We start from the raw sequence: 21,143 nt of genomic DNA, 5'->3' as shown, positions 1-21,143 counted from the left end.
TTTGTAATGGAGTGAGGAGAGGGTGACCCCACCTACTATCCCCACTACACGTGTAATGAGAGGACAGCAGCTTCTACTGGAGTGGACTGCAGGGAAGTGGTGGCCTGTCAGGAGAACCAGACAGGATTAATATCCTATTAACACCCAGCAGGTTATTCCACCAGCCTTAACTCAGTTTTCCATTGTCATCTAGCCCAGTAGGTTTCAGCTGATCTCCTAGGGTCTTTCCTCAAGGGATTCTGCTTTAGTTGGTCTGGGGCGGAGCCAGGAAAACTATGGTTTCAAAAGCTCCTTGGGTGATTGATTAGTGGCCAAAGATGAAGACCACCAGTGGAACCCACATTTTGCTTTCATCTGCACAACAGCATTACATCACATGCCTAGCTGACCTCAACATATTGCACCTATGGCATACCTGACTCGGCATTCTTTCATCAGAGTAGAAATGAAGTGCTAAAACAATTCAAAGATATTCAATTACTAGGAATCAGTTTAAATTGTGAAACAGTGTCACACCATAATCTTTAAATTAGCAAAGCATTTTTAAAACATCTTAATACTCGTTGTGAATTGTGAGAAGGGAACTCGCATACTCTGCTAAGGGGATTGTAAATTAATACAGTCTTCTTGGAAAACAGTTTGACAGTACATAAATAGGATTAAATATGGTCAGACCCTTTGATCTAATAATTACATTTCTAAGACTATTGTAGGTATATAATCAGAAATGTGGATCAAGACATATTTAAGATATTAATCAGTGTTACTTATAGTCACAAAAATGGAAACAAATGGTTAAATATGGTATATTCATATGATGGGATATCACAGAGCCATTGAAAATTATAAAGACATTTAATGACATGGTGGATAACATTAAGAAAACAAAGACCCAGCTATAAAATTATATATACACTTTGTGCTTGATTGTATACACACTTACATTTTAAAATACTGAGCAGGAAATTTTTTAAGTTATTGATTGTTCTCTGGGTGGTAGGAATATGTGCTATTCTATTCTTTTGTGTTTTTGTATTTTTCTAAATTGTATACTAGGAGCATGTTTATTAAGCAAAAAGTAAGCTTTAAAAAATTAAAATTCTTACTCTAATCTCTTTAGCAAAAAGAATAAGGAAAACTCATTTGGGATGAATGTTGCTAGAGAAGTCCTTGCTCATAGTAATCCCCAGTGTGTTTTCTAAATACTTGCAAACTATCTATTTATCTGTTGCACAGTGTTGCCAGGTTAAGCCTGTTGGTTTTGTTCTTTTTGTTTCATATGATAGCTTTCTTGAGATATAATTCACATAAAATTCAGCCTTTTTAAAGTGTACAATTCAGGAGTATTCAGTTTATTTGCAAGTTGTGCAGCCATCACCATGATCTAATTTCAGAACAGTTTTATCAACCCCAAAAGAAACCCTGTACTCAACAGTTACTCCCCATTTCCCCTTCCCTCCAGCCCTTGGCAGCCACCAATCTCCTTTCTGTTTCTACGGATCTGCTTATTTTGGACATTTCATATAAATGCAGCCATACAATATGTGGCCTTTTGCAGTATCCTATTAATGAGTCTCCAGTATCTCCTCCCTACACTGCTGGAAACGTCATTTAGACCGCTACCATGCTAATCTTTCTAGCGTAACTGTGACTTTACCATCTTCAGCTCAAAAGTTTTCATTGTACTCACAGTTTATTAAATTGACAAGAGCTATTCCTTATTCTGGGGGTTAAGGTTTTCAGACTCTACAAAGTAAGTGCCTAACTAAATACCTGGTAAATAAATGAACTAAATGAATTAAATATACTCTACCTTATCTCTTCTTTTCCTTCTCCCTCAGAGAGGAAGATAACACTATGTGTTAGTCAGATTTCAGGTCACCCATAGAGCAAGACAATTTCTTTCTAAAGTTTAGGGCAGCGGTTCTTACATCTCAGCAAGCATCAGAATCATGGGGAAGGCTTGGCAAGCTGATGCTGTGCTTCACCTCCGAAGTCTCCTTTCAGCAGGTCTGGTCAGAGCCAGAGAGTGCATTTCTGACAGTTCTCAGGTGACCCTTTGATAAGCATGGTTCTGGGGTCGTGCTGGCTCAGGTAGGATGCAGTCAGCACTCAGTCCAGGGCCTGGCAGTAACCTGGGGGAAAGAGGAAAGTGAGGAGGGGAAGGACCCACACTCCCAAATCCCCGGATCCCATGGTCATCCCAGCATGCAGGCTCCCCACAACAACTCTAGCATTGTCTCACTCTTTAGTAACTGTACCACTTTGGTGCCCTGAAGTTCTCTTATACATGCTCACCCATCTCCCCTTCACTTTGGAAAATTATACCCATTCTTCAAAACCTAGCTCAGGCATTCATAAAACCTTTGCCTACTCTTCCAAATGAAGGAAGTAATTTTTCCTTCGTTAGCACTTTGTATTTTTTATGTATATTGTCTTGTATGTTAATTAATTCCATACTTGTATCTTCTTCCTAAGTCTTGCATTTCATGAGATCAAATTCTGTTATTTACTCAGTGACTGTATTGCAGTGTCCATAGAGCAAAGCATTTTGCCCTTAGCAGCTACTCAATAATTATCAGTACAGTTGAATTCAATATCAGAAGAAAATAAATGCAAATAGATTTTTAAGTTAAAAGCCTGTAATTTAGGCTGTATTTTAATACCAAAAGAGACCTGTTTTAATTAGAAACTTAACCATATATAACATTAGATTGTTCAAATATATTTTTGCCCTAAATATAATAGTCACTGCTCTTGGTTCAGAAACATTGACTTGAAAGAAAATACCAACTAAAGAAATCATATATTTGTGCTATGAACACGTATATACTGTGTCGTGGTGTCTCTGAGAGCTAGCTTAGTTTTCTCCACGTCATTCTATCCCAACTAGAACCAGGGTTTAAATTTCAGCTTGATGGATTATTATCAATTTCATTTTAGTATCAGGCAGAAGGAATATAATATAGCTAGCTGTCTCTGAGGCGTCAAGCAATTATCTCAATTTCTTTCAAGTTTCATTCCATGCTTATTACTTGCTAGTTATAGCTAAATAGGGTGCAGCAATCTTAGAGATCTTTATCCATAGGTGTAGCTTTTATAAACAATTGTTCTTTATTCTCTCAGTGGAAAAACGTCTTAGGACTATTTAAAAGAAACAGGTAGAGAGCAACATAAAAAATAGAAGGAATTTTCCTTAATCTTTTTAATGCCTACTGTAGACCACCCTTATTAACTACTCAAGGGATAACTAGAAGCTACCTTTCTTGAATCCAATTACATATTTAGTTCCACAAAGCGTAATAATTCTCCATCTGGGGCTATAAAGGGGAGAAAACCCTCCACTGGCAGCTTGCCAAGGCTATTCTGTGCTCTTCACAAAGTTTGTCTGCCAAAACTAGAGGGTCCCCCCAGTCTCTGACACTGAGGTCAGAGAATTGGACTCCACTGTACAATCCCAATGATAGCAATATGCTTATGCTTTTGCTGACAGCTACTTGCCTGTGTCTCAAGTTTGAAACTTAAAATAGCTAAAATATAAATCGTGATCTTACAGAATGGCTGGTTTTGATGATTACCAAAATCCATCATTTGAGGGAGAAAAAATTGTTAAATTAAGGGTTTTGATTCACATTTTTAGGTGCCAAGGTAATTTTCAAATTCCGTTTGTAAAAAAGACTTTCTAAGTTCTAGTAATTCTCAGTAAACATTCTGTAGGGATGTGTTATTTGCAAATAAAAATGCTTAATTTGGCTTTTTTTTTTTTTTTTTGAGATGGAGTCTCACTCTGTCGCCCAGGCTGGAGTGCAATGGCTCACTGCGACCTCCACCTCCCAGGTTCAAGTGATTCTCCTGCCTCAGCCTCCCAAGTAGCTAGGATTACAAGTGCGTGCAATCATGCCCGGCTAATTTTTTTGTGTTTTTGTAGAGATGGGGTTTCACCATGTTGGCCAGCCTGGTCTCAAACTCCTGACCTCCGGTGATCCACCCCACTCTGCCTCCCATAGTGCTGGGATTACAGGTGTGAGCCACTGCACCCGGCCTAATTTGGTTTATTTTTATGAGATAAAATTGGTATCTTTTTGGAGCAGGGGAGCTTCTGTTAATCTAGAGCTGCCATTTTCATTATTAATGTCAACCATTGCCTCATAGCAAGTAGTGTTCAGAATAATTGTAATGATCTGACGAAGAGTAAGTTTTTAGGAATTTGTATGGTAAGAAAATGATTCAGAGGTCCCCCCAAACTAGATTTTTCCTTCTTGTTATTTTTTACCACTGTAGAAGTGTGGTGGAAAACAGAGAAAAGAGCATAAAAAGGTATTTCAGAAGAATACTTCTTACACACTCACCCTAGAAAGGAAGCATTATTTACACTGCCAAAACAGCCTATAACTGTGTCCCTTATTTCTTATCAAACCACAAGCCTTTATTAAATTTGGGTCCTGTACTTTTTTCATGCAACATGCTTGAAAGTTTTGCAGAGGCAAAACTGTGCTTTTCTGTTTGATTGAGGTAAAGAACCCACAGGAAAGTTTGGAGTTAAATGAGTGACAGTGGACAAAAGGGAAGAAGGAGTGAGTTTCTTAAGGCCCATCCCTGACAGAGACACTCGAGTGGGAGGCAGCAGCATGAGCCTGCCTGGAGCCCACAAAGGGCTGCCTCATGGTGACAGTGGGTGCCAACAAAACCGTGGACCCTCTCCTGGGAAAGAGGCAGCTGATCAGGAGGCATTTAAAAAAGTGTTACTTTCACTTTAACATACCATGGGCTTGGAAAAAGTAAAAGGGAACCTTTAATTCTTCCTGGTGGAATCTGTGAAGCCTGCGTAAAGGGAGTATGCTTTGAGCTGCTTTGGAAGGATAGACCAGATTTTTCTGAGATAGAAGGGCAATTTTAGTAACCTTTACTGGAAAGCTCTTGTGATTTAGATATATTTCTTGCTCTGAAAGAGTTGGTAGAAGAAAAAACATGAGAAGTCCATATAGTTAAAGAACATATGATATGCTAATGACTCTAAAATATCTAAGTATCTGTCTATATTATACAGAAGAACTTAGGATAAATATAAGTTTACCCTAAGTTTTAAGTATAGTTTTATATATATATATATATATAAATAATTAAAACATAAGTTTTAAGTATAGTTATACAGATTTAGTAGGTTGGAAATTGTTATAGAATTATCCTTTGGTTTACCAAAGAAAATAATTTTTACTTGAAATTTCATTGCTAATACCAGTAAAATGAGATTTGATTTCTCATTTCATTCATTGTAGGCAGTCTTTGTGCCACTTAGTACAGTATAGGTTTCCCTCAGTTGTTGCAAGATTTTTTCTGAAAATAAGCATGTAAACAATTCATACACTTACAGTTTATATTCCAAAGAGCAGGTTACTTTAAAAATTCCGTTTGGTTTGCCTAGGTTTTAGTTTGTTTGTTTTTCCCAGCAGCACAGTCAGCTTTATTTCATTCCTTTTCTTCTTTCTTTCTTTCCTCTCTCCCTCCTGTTCTTTCCCTCTTCCTTCTTATTATAAACTCACAAAAGTCTGATGTGTTAATGAAAGGGAATTTGGAAAATACAAAAATTAAATTACATCCGTAATGCCCATTGAAATAATTTAACTGCTAATATTTTGATAACTTTTCTGTTTTAAATTAATTTTTAATTTTTTAATTTTCTTTTTAAATTAATTTTTCTTTCCAAATTCACCATCAATTTAGATTATTTTATAAACATTTATAGTCTATTAAATTCAGATAACAGTTTATGTTTATTAAATAAGCCCTTACTATATGCCAGCTGCTCTTCTGTGCCCTTAACATTTCATGCTCTCAGCAAGCCTATAAAGGTATGTATTATTGCTCCAGTTTTACAAATGAAGAAACAAAGCTCCAAAGAGGTTAATTAAATAACTTGCCACGGGTCAAATATGTAGTGTTCTAGGGATTTCCAGCCAGAGTTGACACCAGAGAATGTGATCTAGGCCACAACATTGTACCGCTTTTCATATGATTAATGGTTGTATATTAAAGAAATTATATTATGAATCTTAGAGATCTGTTAGAAAGCTCTCAGATAACACTCATCTGAGAGGACTTTGCTGGCTACCTATGTAAAATAGTATCCCTCACCCCATCTACATTATACTCTCTTAATCTTACTGCCTTGTTTTTCTTCTCTTTTTCTTTTTCTTTTCTTTTCTTTCTTTTCTTTTCTTTTTTTTTTTGAGACAGAGTCTCACTCTGTCGCCCAGGCTGGAGTGCAATGGCACAATCTTGGCTCACTGCAACCTCTGCCTGGGGGGTTCAAGCGATTCTCCTGCCTCAGCCTCCTGAGTAGCTGGGATTACAGGCATGCGCCAACACACCCGGCTAATTTTTGTATTTTTTTAGTAGAGGCGGGTTTCACCATGTTGGTCATGTTGGTCTCGAACGTCTGACTTCATGGTCCACCTGCACCGGCTCCCAAAATGCTGGGATTACAGGCGTGAGCCACTGCGCCTGGCCCTACCTTGTTTTTCTTTATACCTCTAATCACTATCTGATGTGGTAAATATTTTGTTTGTTTTACTATTCCCCACCCTCTCCCTACTTTCCTGTTAGAATATAAGAGTCAGTGACTTGGTCTATTGGGTTTATTGCTATATTCTCCAATAACTAGAACCTTGCTTGGTGCATAATAGGTATTCACTAATATTTGTTGTGATCTGCATTCCCCCTTAATAGATCATGTCCTCTTGCTGCCGCTGTCTGAGAGTCTCGGGATGATGGGCAACTTAAGTACTCCAGTGGAGACTGAGACTCTGGACAGGAGAGGAGAGGGGTAGGGGAACAGAGGAGCAGGAGGACAGGGAGGAGCGGGGCAGGGAGTGGGGCACTCTGCGCCTAGCCATGATATTGTATGCCTACCAAGAGCCAGATTCTTGTTTCCTGGACAGTTTTTGCCAGTTGTACTTCTTATTATAATGACATAATTTAATTAATATATATGTAATATAATAAATTAATTAAATATATGTAACGTATCAAGTGTGAGTTTGAAAAGATACATTTGTTTCTGTGAAAACTAAGACTCAAAGTGAAATGAAGAAACATTGCTGCCAAATGGGTGTATAGGACACATAACACATGTCTAATAGACTGGGAAAAAATCATACAAATCTGCACCTTATAAGCACTTTTAAGAAATCTAAGTGTCTATAAGTTCTAGGTCTGTTTTAAATAAACAGAAATTGGAGAGTAGACACTGTTTTTATTGCCCACTATTTAGATGATAAATTATAGGTATAGGTATGATTTATGCAAGAAGGACACTGTGAAACTCCAGTGGAGACTGAGACTCAAAGTTACATTTATATGTTTAAAATTAAAAGGAAATTATTAAGGTGTAGTATGTATCATTTTTACAATTACCCTTCATAACTGACTTTTTAAATTAACCAATTACCATTTCTGAAACAGAAGAAAAGGCTTTTACTGTTTTAAGTGAAACTGAGCATTCTTGGTATGCCAGATAAAATTTCTAGTTGGTGTCTTATTTAATAGCTTCATAATAAATTCAGTAATAACAAAAATATTTGCTTATCTTCGGGGAATAATTGTGCATGAGCTGAGCATGACATCTTTTCTGCACTGGAATGTGAGCTGCAGGAGGACAGGGACTGTTAGCTGTTTTGTCATGACTTTCTCTCCAGTGTCTGCAGCAGTGCCTGGAGCATTAGTTATATATTGAATAAATGGATACATGATTCTAACATATGCACTGTTTAACAGAAAGAAGTGTTTTACATTTCACAGTGATACTGTTTTTAAGAAAAAGAAAAGTGCTTTCAAATTACATAGTCACTGTTGACTAAGTTAAAATATAGTGCTTCCTGTAATACATACTAGTTTATAAATTTCTCTCTTCAGTGAAAGTGTCAAAGTATAGGACCCTTTAATGCCCACATTACAGTGGTTAAGAATTGAGGAACTGTTTGGATTCATGAGCTCCAAGACTTCCTGTGTGGCCTTGTTCAAGTTACTTTATTTCTCGTGTACCTCAATTTCCTCATCTATACAATGGTGATAATCAGGCTGTTACAGGAACTAAAGGAGTGTATACAGGTAAAGTACGTAGAAAACGCCAACCAATGTAGAAACACTCCATGGATGATGGTTATTATCATTACACCCGTGATCTGTGTGACCTGTTAGGAAACAGGTCGGAGAGGTTAGATAATCTATAAGATGTATATATACATACATATCAAATTGTGGCTTTTAAGCAAGGAAATATGTGCTAAGTAACCTAACTCATAATAAGTCTTCAATAAATGTTAGCAAAAAAACCAAACAACATATTATGCTGTGAGAGAGAACTCTCATTTATTTAAGAACTGTTGACAACTCAAATGATAAAAACACTCTTTGTATAGGTACAGACTGTCTTGACCTTGCCAGTTAACTTTCTCAGGAATTAGAAAGTCATTTTTTAATCTCATAACAAAATTTAAAATGGGTTTCAGAATGAAGAAAGATAATTGAATTTTAGTCTGGACAAGTTATGAAACTCAAACACAAGTGCTACATTGTAGTCCTTGATTTGATGACTTCTTTCCAGAATGCTAAGCCTTTGGTGAAAACTGGTTTTCAGAATAATAAAAAGACACTGAGTACACTCTGCTTGAAGGGGAGAGAAAATGCTTACGTTATGCAAGGAATGCAGCTTCTTCCTGCGATGTTTTCTCATCTGAGGCCTCATTAAAACCTAGTCTTGCTATTCCTGGCCATATTCGCACCAGCTGACGTCGATATATAAGCAGTCCAGTAACTGGCTATGTTAAGGAACTTGGCCTATGAGAATTTAGAAAGTAGAAGCCATCATGTGCCACTGATGTCAGACTAGACATTTTCGCCCATGTTGGTAATGATAGTTTAGAACAGCTCCCTGCTACTTATGTATTCTGGCCTGAATTCTGCTAAGATAAGACTTTGAAGGAGGTTTTCCCCTTCTTTAGGACAGATGCAGATGATGGATATGTTGCAGCAAAATATTTGTGTAACCAGTGAACATGAATGTAGCCATTTATTTGATTATTGCAGCATGTGTTAAAGAGCTGCTACTGCCCATTTGCAGCCTAATGTGTTTATTACAGTCTTCCCAATGGCATCTTGAAGTGTCTTTCAGCTAAAAAATTCATGAGTATTATTGGCTTTCAGTCAGAAAATGGAATATGTCTTCTAGTTACTGTCTAATATACCACTTTAAGGCCATTATACAAAAGTAATCTAAGAGCAGACGATACTGAGAGGAAGGAATTTTTAGCTTAAACATTTGTTTATATACTGTTATTACTGTTCCTGGACTAAGACACAGCATAAGAGAAGGTAGGTGCTAAAGCCAGTTTACCTAGAGACTAGTTGTGGTTGCAGGATATGTTATTTTCTTTAATCCTCTACCTAACAATAAATGGCTAGTGTTTTAGTATTGAAAAATCATATCCTAATAATAGTGGTTTGTGTCTATCTTATTGTTATTTTTAAAAGGCAAATGTACAGTAAACTGCTCTAAACTAGTAAAGTTGAACTTATTTGAAAACAAATTCTAGATTTTTCTGGATTTATTTGAAGTGAGTCCTCTAAAACTTTGTAACTTAACTGTTGTTACTATATGAATTAATGTACAGTTTTTTGATTCTGTACATTAATCTGTAGATACAGACTATAGTATGTGAGGCAAATTAAAATTTTACTGTATGAAAACCAAGAAGCACTACAGTATTACGTAAAGATGACGTTAAAAGAGCCCTTATGATCTAGTAAAAAAGAGTAATGACACTTGGGAGGAAATAATACATAATTTTACTAGGTAAAAATTTTAAAAATATTGTGTCATGTCCTCTATCACTGTTGAATGCATTACTTGTTTGCCAATGGGAAGCAACGTTTGATTTTCTGTGCGCTGTCATCCCAGCATTTAGTAAATCCACATAGTTCTACTTCTGTTTTATTTGTCTGTGTGATGATTCTTTGTATGAATCAACATTATATCCTTGAGTAGTCTGTATATTTCCTGCATAGAATATTTATTCAACTGTTGCCAGAAGTTGGGATCTTGCCAAAATAATGTCTGCTTTGGGTAATTTCGACCAATTAACCCTATTTGAAAAGAGGTATTTCCCTTCCTCTAGCAACTGGATGTCTTCTGTATCATCTTACTGACTTCCCAAGTTTGGCCTACTTTCTTTTCTTTCTCAGGCATCTACATCCAAAAAGCACATTTTGTTTATTGAAGCATTAGATACTATGTTTTTTAGACTTATCAGAGCCTGGCCCAGAAATTTTGCTTTTATCCTTATAAAGGGATCGCTCTTGGAACACAGTGTACTTTGAAGGAGAAACTGTTACCAGTTTAGAATGAGCAAATGTTTTCATTTGTGATAAAGCAATAGTGGATGCAGCTTTAGCTGTTGAGGTGGGATTCTGAGAAACAGTGGGCTCTAAAAGATTATCCTTCTGTAGTTTAGTTAAATAGAAATGGAAGGGTATTTAAGTGAGGTTTTATGTATACTTTTAATATTGCTTGAGCATTTCTTGGTTTTAAAAGTTTGTAAAGGGTTAGACTACATATTACACAATTTCATATGTCTATCGTAAAGAGAGCTCAGAAGGAACCTCGGAAATCTCTAAGTCTTTCTGTTCTCATAACAAGAGCTAGATGATTTATCAGGCAGGTCCTCTTCAAGTAGACATTCATAAGAGAAGTGGTTTCAGTAGCTCTTTCTGTGTCGTTTCTAACTTGGGGAATTTCAGAGAAGGCCTAACTTTAAGAACATTTATTGGAGCTAGCAGTCAGGATCAGATGTTCGATCACTTTATTATGTTTGGAGTTCAGCAGCAGTAGTATCCTTATTCTTTAACTGAATTTGTTCTGTATATAATGCATCTGGCAGTTTTACAAGCCTTGTTTGGAAGATAGGCTGTCTTGATAAAAGATAAAATGCATATTATCGTTTACATAAATTATGGATGATTAACAAGCTTTAATGGTATGAGGTTGTATTGAGAGCAACAGCTTTGTTACCTTATAAATTATATTGGTGAATTCCATGAAAGTACATTTTTGAATTGTGTTGAGGTTTAACATTTTATTTTGCTTTCTGTCATTATGCTAAGGATTCAACTGGCTTTGTTCACCCCTCCCAGAATATTGTTACTTTTTAGAGATAAAACTTACTAATCGTAAGGCTATAACTCTTCCCTACCGTCTAGCTCATCCAAGCTGATATCAAGGGATGTAAGGGAGGATGTATGGTCACTGTGAAAACAGGGCTATTGTGTTGTTACAGATAACAAGAATGGATGATTTGAAACTTTTTTTTTCAGACTTGTCCTTTCACAACCCCCAACATCTGGTAGAAACTGGTTTGCTCTCAATGACTGTAATTACCATCAAATACAGCCTGAGAGTTTACTTGTGTCATTTTCAGTTTTTGTGATTTACGTTAAACAGTTTCAGCATTGAGAGTGAGATGCTTAAGAATTTTAATTTCATGTGAGTGTGCAGAAATTATAAGAAACTATTAATTTAGAGCTGGTCACCAAATGAAATTTTAGAACCTTCAGTGCTGCTCTTTAGTATTTTCCATCTCCTACCTTTACACTGGAAATGAATTTTTTAACTTCGATCTACAAAAGTGCATAAAAATTCCTCTGTCCATAGAGTTTATTTTAGATATTTCTCTATGAGTGACTATACACTAGAATGTACATTTGTATAGAAAAAGTAATTTATATAACTTAGAAGAAAGTCGTTTTTATAACTTATCTATCTCTCTCTGGTTTTTATTTGTGTCACTTCTGCATTGCCCAGTATTTTGAGTTGGGGGAAAAATGAACTCACCTGGCCCCACCTCCTGTTCCAGTGTGAAATACTGACACTTGCTGCCAGCCCAGCCTCCTCACATAAGCATTAGAAATATCAGACAGTCCACTAGGTTAGAGCACCTCATTCATGAGGTTCTGTTATTTATTCGGCTCTCCCACTAAAATGCAGGGCATAAATTTATGTGTCTGCTCTAAGACTGCAGCTGTCTGCCCCCCCTCCACCCTCCTCCTGCCCTTCCTGTGTCAGTGTTACATTCGCTCCCCCCACTTTTGGTCTCAGGTCTGTCTCCTTTTTGTTTTTATGGGTGATTTGCAGTGATTCAGACAGGGCATCCTTGCATGTTGGCACTTCCTGGAGGTTACCAGGAGGCAGCCATCCTTCCTTGGCTTGGCCAGGCATCCCCGACTCCACCCCACTTTCCCCTTGGTGGTGGAAAGGTGGGTTGGAGGTGTGTACTGGGGCACATAGCCCAGGAATGTTGCTCTGAGAAGAGGACATGTGCAGTAGACACAAAAATATAAGGAAGCAATTATGTTCATCAAGCCGAAAGTTGCAGATTTTGAGGAAATGTGTTTAAGATACCACTACATAATAAAAGGGAAAACCACTTGGCATTTAAATAACTTACTTCAAGAGGAAATTATGATATTTTCAGTCTACAAATAGAGTGGTTTTTAAGCCAACCTTGAGTAGGTACAAGCAAATTATAAACAGTCTGCTCAAATGATTTTACTATACTTAGACTAGAAAATGGCTCCTCTTCTCTCTCCCTCTGGTCCCTATGTCCCAGTGCTGTCCCTCATATGTTACAATTGTTCGTGTATGTATTTTAGAATATTCACAGGTAAATGATGCAAATAATATATATATAATGTTAAATCATCCTCAAACTGGGTGTATATGACTTTAGGTAAAACAGTTCCTTACTTTAATTGTCTGTTGAAAGCTTTCTGATCTTTCTGATAATACTATACATTTTAGTATATGTGGCATTGCTTTTGAGGGGGGGAATAGCCATTTTAACAAAAAAACTTGTCACCTATACCTACTATATAGGGCATTTTGCTATGCTGTATATTGAAGGCTATATTGTAATGATAGAAACTTTCTTAAGTTTGTATGACTTCTAGAAAGCTGCTTTCAGAGTGAAAATCTCCTAGGTCATTTGTTGAAAGGTTACTTAGACTGGATGTGTAATGTTTTTTCTTACATCTCATGATTGAAACCATGGGAATTGTGATTCAGAGAGAAGTACTGAAAGTGAATGTCTATAAGGTATCATCTGAGAAGGGTTCTGGAATTTAGGGTTTTGTTGTTGTTACAGAGATGGGATCTTGATACGTTGTTCAGGCTGGTCTCCAACTCCTGGTCTCAAGTGAGCCTCGCATAGCTAAAAGTGGTGAAGCTTGGACATGAATACTGGCCCTTCACTTCTCTGCTATCCTGCCTCTCATAGTCTGCCTCTCTCATAGTAAATAAATACAGATTATACTTATTATCAGGCCAAAATTGTGACCACAGTGTGGGACATTGGGACTTGGTTGCATTGCTCTAACCAGCAAGAAGCTTGGGTATCAGCTTTGAGAATTATTCCCTTCTGTGTCACCTCTTGAATCAAATGTGTACCAGTGGTGCAGCCTCCCTAAACGGATACAGTATTTCTTCATTCTGCTTACATATGACTCTTTAAAAAAAAAAAAAAAAAAACTAACTCCACTGCGCTATTGTATCAGAAGTGGCGAGAAGAAATTATTGTAGTACAGCTGAGACTGGGCAGCCCAGATTACAGGGAAGAAGTGGCCTGGCGGTTTGACTGGTACGCGTTATGTTCCTTAGCCCTCCTTGCTCTTTGTCCTTACTCTTGATTGTCCTCTGTCATCTTCCTTAAGTTCTCTGTCTTCTAATGCACTTTACCTTCCCTTTGATTTTTTTTTTTTTCTATCCAGAAAAGAAAAGAAGCCACTACAAAAAGTAAAGGAGGGGCAAAGGTGATTTAGAAGTCTGGGGGCCAGAAGGAAGGGGAAGTAGTATCGAATAGGAGCTCTAGGAAAGACTTTAAATGCAGATTTCAGCTTGTCCTGCTGCATTGTTTTTTCTTTTGGTAAGCAGTTATTGAACACCTTGAGTAGCAGTCTTTTATGGTTTCCTCACAGTCTTTGTAAGTCTCTTTGTTTAGCTCTTTCAGTACGTAAACCTCTGTCACTGGCTTGTTCTTGCTTACCTAAATATTATTTTGATTATGTTAGTGATGACGAGCACACTGATTTTCTTACATTTTTTTTTATTTTCTTACTGAGAGGAATTCAGCAAGCAGGAGCTGATCATGGTTCTTCCCACTTGGGGGTCAGTAAAGTTCCCCTGACTTCTGGGGCATATCTTAAGACCTTTGGCGTTAGCAGCCAGAACCAGCTGAGGGAAGGAAAGTTTGGAGGCGGCAGGATGTGAGAGAGGAAGTGACCATGCTGTGTGCAGGGAGGCGAGCTGCCACAGAGAGAGGGCACCGATGGAGGAGCAGCCAGGCAGCTGCTGCAGGAGAGCCAGGCACAGGAGCTTCCCGAGGGGCCAGGAAGATCCCCCACTAGGGGGCATTGATTAAGAGGCCTTGTGCAGGAACTCGGGGCTACAGGGGTGTCAGATGTACCTAGTTAAATTTGAAAACCTTCAATTTCGTGTCCTGGCACTGGCTCTTCCCCGGGCTGTCTGTTGTGGGTGAGCTGTTGCAGCATAGACTTCACATTGGCTAACCCAAAACAGAGACTGGGAGGAGCCCCTTACAACACCTGTAGTTTCCACATGGTGCAAGATCACTCTTGAAACTGGAGGCTGGCAGCCCAAACCCAGAGCTGGTAGATTGTAGTTCATGGTGCTGTTGAAATACAACTCGTGTTTAAAGAATTTGGGCCCAATGAGGTAGGCTTGTTTGTTTCTTAAATGTTAACCTTTACATTTGCTTAATCTTAAAAGATTTTTTTAAAGAGACGGCTTTTATATTAGAAATTATACATGCACATAAAACAATGTTAATTACTGGTCTCAAATTTCTGATTGGAGTCAAAATTCTTTTATTGTTGGTAAAATGATCAGACACTTCATCATCAGCTCTCTTCATTTTTTTCTTCCTCTTCTCTGTTTTCTGTTTTAGTTGCTGATATGTGTTCAAGATGAGTGGGATGGGAGAAAATACCTCTGACCCCTCCAGGGCAGAGACAAGAAAGCGCAAGGAATGTCCTGACCAACTTGGACCCAGGTTAGATTCTTGCTGAGAAAAGGAATCAGTATTGTCTGTTAAAGCCACATGAGTGCTTCTTTGTTATTTTAGCATTGATTTTACTGCTGATTCAAATATTGAGTTGGTTTTTCTCCTTAACAGTTAAATCTCTGAATATGTACTTGCTTACATTTTGAATATGCAAATCAGTTACAGATTGTATTCTTTACAAAAAGAGGAAAGCTGTAAACTTCTGATATCTTTTGACTCTTAGAATCAATTTATTTAATAATATTGAGTTTGATTACACAATATTATAACAAGAAGATCCTATAGTAAAAAGGATTTGCCGTTAATTTTATAATGGGTTTTATTTTTGTTGTTTTATTTTTAAAGACATAAAATGTTAAACCCATGTACTTCTGAGTTGAGAACAAAGATTGTGGCTCTTTAGTGAATAAAACAAAGAATTTTAAAGCAAATTTCATCTCATATATTATGGGTGGAAGTATGAGTTGTTATAATGCCCATGTAGGGTAATTTGGCAGTATCAAAATTATAAATGCATATCCTGTTTGAACTAGCCATTCCACTTTTAGGAATTTTCCTATTATATACTTTAACACATGCAAAATGACGTGTATATGAGGTTACTCAAATTGCAAAAGATTCGGAAAAACCTAAATGTCTGTTAAACAGCTGTGGTACATCTAGAACCTGGAACACAGTTCAGCTAGGATAAAGATGAGGATGCTCTTTATGGGTTAATATGAAAAAAAAATCTCTTAAGAATATTGTTACAGACAAAAAGCAAGGTTTAGAAAATGTTTTTGGAATATTGCCATCTGTATAAACAAGGAAGAAAAAAGAATGTGTATTGTTTTAGGATAATCAAGAAACAATAATTGTTGCTACCTGTTTCGGTGGATGAGAACTGGGCAAATAGTTACCAAAAGTAGAAGAGAGACTTTTCACTTTTTCAATGTTTTAAATCATATAAATAATTTTAAGAATTAAATAAAAACAACACCTTCTACCTAATGGACAGTAAAAGCATCAGACATGAAATAGTAGGGAAGAGGGCTAGGAAAAGTCATCAAGAGAGGCAGAGCAGGAGAAAGGGCAAAACACCAGTATTTTATATTCCCTTTTCCCCTTCTAGTTGCCAAGCAAAACATCAAGCCCAATAAATCTCCACTCTCTACATCCCAGCCCCCAGCTCCTCTAGGTTCCCTACTACTTCCTGGTAAACCACAAACTTCTGTCTGTCAGACTGCCTTTAATAGTCAGGAGCCCTACCTGGGGAGGCAGTGGGAGAAAGTGGGAACTGTTTCAGCTGTGGGCTGTAGTGGCAGGTCTCTGAGCCCTCCCTCTGGGGCGCTCAGGGGTCTTTTGAACACAACTCCCCTTTCTCACCTATTTGTCATTTATTTCTTACCTTGTGAGAGGGTGAGAGGGCATGGGTGGAGGGTGGTGGAGGGGGTCAGAATGGGAACTGGGCTATTCTAAGCATTCCAGCCACTCTTTACCTTTTGCTGTAAAAACAGAAGCTACGGGTAAAAATGAGACTTAGAAAAAAAACCAAATTCTGAATTACTGTGCCAGTAATTCGTGGGGTGATCCTGGACAAATTGTATAAACACTATAAAATAGAGACATTGTATTATAGTATGTATTTATGAAAATCAAACATATTTAGAGATGCATATATGAAAGTCTATTGTGAATCCAGAAATTTTAAAATTAGTATTATATACAAATAATTATATATAAAAATACAGAAAGCTGCTACATTAAGCAACTTGCTTTTCTTCCTTATTGTATTGTTTTGAATGTCATTTAATGGGCCCCCCTTTGCACTTGAGAAAATAATTGTATGCTGTTATTATGAAAAGGAACTTTTCAGTTTACTATTTTGTCACATTCTAATGGAAGATTTTGCCTCTTTTGATATTTTTCCATTCCATTAACTTTTTAAACTTTAGTTGAAATTGGACTGTTTGTTTATATTTTGCATGTCATTCAGCTTGGACAGTTAACAAATTTCCTGGGTCAGTTTCGCTTTTGTTTCTAGCTGTATTGTGACTTTTTGCATTACCTAAAAAGGCTGTTTGGTTTGCTTACTAACATTCTGAAGAAGTCTATAAAATTATAAATATCTGGTTTTATTTTTTATGTTTTACCAAAAATTATTGAAATTTATTCCTGTTATTAACTGGGTTAACTTCTCTTCTTTTACTAATCTTAAATAAATTTTAAAATATAACCTCCTTTACCTTTTTGAAACATTCTTTTATTTGTCAACTAATTTGGTGCCCACTTGTTTCAAGTACTGCACTAAGCACAGTGGTGAGCACAGTCCAGGTCACTGTGAAGTGGACAGTCCAGTGGGAGACGCCAAACACATTGAACAGATAGTTTCATTACAAACTAGGCTTAGGTTGATTTTTTTAAAAAAACATGGAACACTTTTGGAAAATTGTGTTTTTCCCCCAAAAGTATTTCTGTGTTTATATAGGTAGCTTTTGTTTGCTATCTTTGTATTAAACTTGTTTAACACGTTCATTTTTTTCACAATAGCTCTTTTTCAAATACATCATAAAAATGTGTTTCTTCTTTTAAGCCCCAAAAGGAACACTGAAAAACGTAATCGTGAACAGGAAAATAAATATATAGAAGAACTTGCAGAGTTGATTTTTGCAAATTTTAATGATATAGACAACTTTAACTTCAAACCTGACAAATGTGCAATCTTAAAAGAAACTGTGAAGCAAATTCGTCAGATCAAAGAACAAGGTAAGAGGACTGAATTAGTATTTTGAAGAGTTGAATTGGTTTCTGTTTTTCCCTGTGTGAGAAGTCCCTTCAGAGTCCCTTTAATCCATTTCTTATGCTTAAATTATTGATGAGGAAATGATGTCACAGTGTAAGATGAATGCAAGTATCACTTGCAGTGGTTTATAAATAGGCTTTGTATAAAATTCAGCCATACCCTAAAGACAGAGAAGACTGAGGTGAGTCAGGGTGATGGAACTTTTCATCTAGTAAACTCAGTTAGGTGCCCACAATTCTCCTCCCCACACTGTGGCATTTTCAAGGCATACACAGCAAGTGACCATCAAAAGTTGCAAGTAGCAGCCAGATTGAGATGTAAACCAGAAGTAAGGAAGTGAAGCACCTCCTATTTCAGCTAGTCAGCATATTTGATTAATCTGAGCCTCAACTGGCCATGACACTAGATTAGAATTTCATATCCTGAATGACAAGAGATTTGAAAGTCTCTAACCTCCAGTAAGAAATCCATCTGTGAACTTGAAACATAGAACATGACAGCTCTCTTCCTATGGTTTTCTTTTTTTCTGAGATAATTTTATGATTCTTTTCTTTGATATTTATGCCTACAGAAAAATATCAAGAAAATAATGTTTTTAAGAACACATTTGACTTTGTGGTGCCAAAAATAAATCTTTATTCGGCATGTATGAACAACGTTTTGGTGCCCAGGGCCAATATATGCTCTTGAAGTATCTGTGTACTGCTTTTCTTTAGGCCTGGGGAGATTATTATCTTTTGTAATCTGGTGTGGTTTTTTTTTTTTTTTTTTGGTGTTTTTTTTGAGACAGTCTCACTCTATCGCCCAGGCTGGGGTGCAGTGGTGTGATCCTCAACTCACTGCAACCTCTGCCTCCTCGGTTCAAGCGATTCTCCTGCCTCAGCCTCCCGAGTAGCTGGGATTACAGGTGCCTGCCACCATGCCCTGCTAATTTTTTAGTATTTTTAGTAAAAACAGGGTTTCACCGTGTTTGCCAGGCTGGTCTGGAACTCCTGACCTCAAGCAACCCTCCTGCCTCGGCCTCCCAAAGGGCTGGGATTACAGGCGTGAGCCACCGTGCCTGACCTGTAATCTGTTTTTGAATGCATCCTCTTAGAGTTCAAATTTTTAAAATCTGCCTTTTATATAATATTCAAAAAAGGCATATTTCATAAAAATAATATCTTTGTCTTTATAATACATGAGCCTGAAACTGTCTGCTCTTATCTGTCACAAATCCTAGCTACCTATTAGCATATCATCTTAGCGTTTTCCATTTCATACCTATACTGTTGAGCTAAATTCTGTATAAAATAGTTTTACAAGTATAGTTCTGTCTTCTAAGAACATAAAAATATACATATAGCATTCACAACACAGTTTCTAACACCAGCCCACTCTGCAAATCAGTCTTTATTTCCTGATTTCTCCATGACCTTTAACATCCAGTGGGTTTCTTCTCCCAGTGCCCATTTCAGTCCCCTTCATCACTCGTCTTTCTTTTCCCTTTGGGGTTCACTAGTTATCAAAAACTCAGTTTAAACCTCAATTTTGTATCTTCATATTTTAGTGTCAGCAAAGGGATAAAATAATATTCCTAGAACTCTTAGGAGAAATAATTGGTTAAAGTTATTAACCAGTGCCTTGAAGTTGCTGTGTTTCTAGTTGCTGATGTCATTACAGTAAAGAAATCATTAAGCTTCTTGTTTTAGGTTTCTAAGGATTATGAATGATTCAGTTTTGAGAACACTGCATGTTTAGGTAGTACTTCTACATTTCAAAACAAATATATATATATATATATATATATATATATATATGCGCCACAAAGAAGGTCTTGCACAAGTTTTTAAAGTTTGCAAAACCTTGGTAATTCCCCCTTCAAACCATAAAACATGTTCAGATGTGTCATGCTGGGACTGCGCCATACCTTAACCATAGTTTTAATCATAGGGCTGCATACCACAACCACCCAAGAAGCAGCAATATATACCCTGTCACGTCTTATTCTTCTAATAATGTTCCTGCTAATTTGAAAAGCAACGTGTTTTGTAAAGGGAAGCAAAACTTAAATACCAAATGAAAAAACGAAAAGCATAAATGTATTTTTAAGTTCTCAACTACTCTGATATTTTCCGAATAGTCTTTGTTTAATAATTTGTTTTTTAAAAAGAGCAGAATTGAATCAGACAGGAGCTAGGTATGAATCCTGGTCCATTTAGGAGCTTTTTGAACCTGGGCAAATTATCTTATCTCTGAGACTCAGTTGCCTCATATAGAGTTTAGTGCTAACAATACCTAGGTTACATAGCTGTTGAAGATATCATGAGCCATGTAAATTCAGTAAACACCTGTCATAGTAGATGTTCAGTAGTTTTCATTCCTACTTAAGCAGAAAGATGCTGTTTTTTCTTTTTTTTTCTTTTTTTTTTTGGAGTCTTGCTCTGTTGCCCAGGCTGGAGTGCAGTGGCGCGATCTCAGCTCACTGCAACCTCCACCTTCTGGGTTCAAGCGATTCTCCTGCCTCAGCCTCCCGAGTAGCTGGGATTACAGGCATGCGCCACCACGTCCAGCTAATTTTTGTATTTTTAATAGAGAAGGGGTTTCACCATGTTGGCCAGGCTGGTCTCGAACTCCTGACCTCATGATCTGCCTGCCTCGGCCTCCCAAAGTGCTGGGATTACAGGCATGAGCCACTGTGCCTGACCTATTTGTAGAAAGTAAAAGAATTTTCTGGTGCCAGAAAATCTGTGCAACCCATGCGTACCACTCCATCAGCAGCTCTGTTTGGGCCAGTTTGATTTTTCTCAGCATCTGACAGCCAGTAAGAACAACACATAAGTCAGGCCAAAGCCTTTCTCTCTAACTCTGTCTTCCCCCAACCCCAACTGATCCCCTGACCAATCAGCATAAATAAAATCCAACTACCATCTTTACACCATTATCCAGACTTAATTTGTATTTCAGTCATAGTTGTCAGCGTGAATAAAATGCATTTGGGAGCTCAGGAGAACATGCCCATTATGTAATAAACCTGCCTATTTATCCTAGAGAAGTTAAACTGGGTTGCATGAGGGGCCATACTAAAGAATACACAATGAGGAAAGCTGGGCTCATCTTTATGGAACCCTGCTCCAGTGTCAGAAGCTATGACGTGTCAGCCAGGCATGGAGGGCTCTTTCCCTCAAGTCTGTGCTCTGTCAGTTACTTCTCAACTTTTATATGCTTTATAAATAAAGGGAGAGAAGAAAAGG

At 37.3% G+C, this 21,143-nt stretch overlaps 1 protein-coding gene across 49 annotated transcripts in view, besides 1 other annotated feature; it reads left to right on the top strand.

The window, feature by feature from the left end:
* NCOA2 (nuclear receptor coactivator 2) overlaps positions 1–21,143 on the top strand; it is a 346,665-nt gene that overhangs the window by 224,671 nt on the left and 100,851 nt on the right. For 44 of the 49 annotated variants that reach the window (XM_047421240.1, XM_047421258.1, XM_047421256.1 and 41 more), the window contains 2 exons: positions 15,012–15,116; positions 17,701–17,873. In XM_047421240.1, coding sequence (XP_047277196.1) covers positions 15,031–15,116; positions 17,701–17,873 — 259 coding nt within the window. In that variant the 5' untranslated portion in view covers positions 15,012–15,030. Of the gene's footprint in view, positions 1–13,623; positions 13,686–14,675; positions 14,780–15,011; positions 15,117–17,700; positions 17,874–21,143 lie in introns of those variants that run through there. The other 5 variants (XM_047421263.1, XM_047421248.1, XM_017012969.3 and 2 more) reach the window with 3 other exon arrangements.
* Positions 12,195–12,244: an enhancer, noted in NCBI's record as "active region_27506". NCBI's record gives its function as "activates an Ori minimal core promoter by ATAC-STARR-seq in GM12878 lymphoblastoid cells {active_cell/tissue: GM12878}" and the evidence as "EXISTENCE:reporter gene assay evidence [ECO:0000049][PMID:35858748]".

The sequence above is a fragment of the Homo sapiens genome, chromosome 8 (assembly GCF_000001405.40).
Source record: "Homo sapiens chromosome 8, GRCh38.p14 Primary Assembly".
Lineage (NCBI taxonomy): Eukaryota > Metazoa > Chordata > Mammalia > Primates > Hominidae > Homo > Homo sapiens.
Note: the sequence above shows the minus strand (reverse complement) of the source record. Positions and strands in the feature narration are given on the sequence as shown.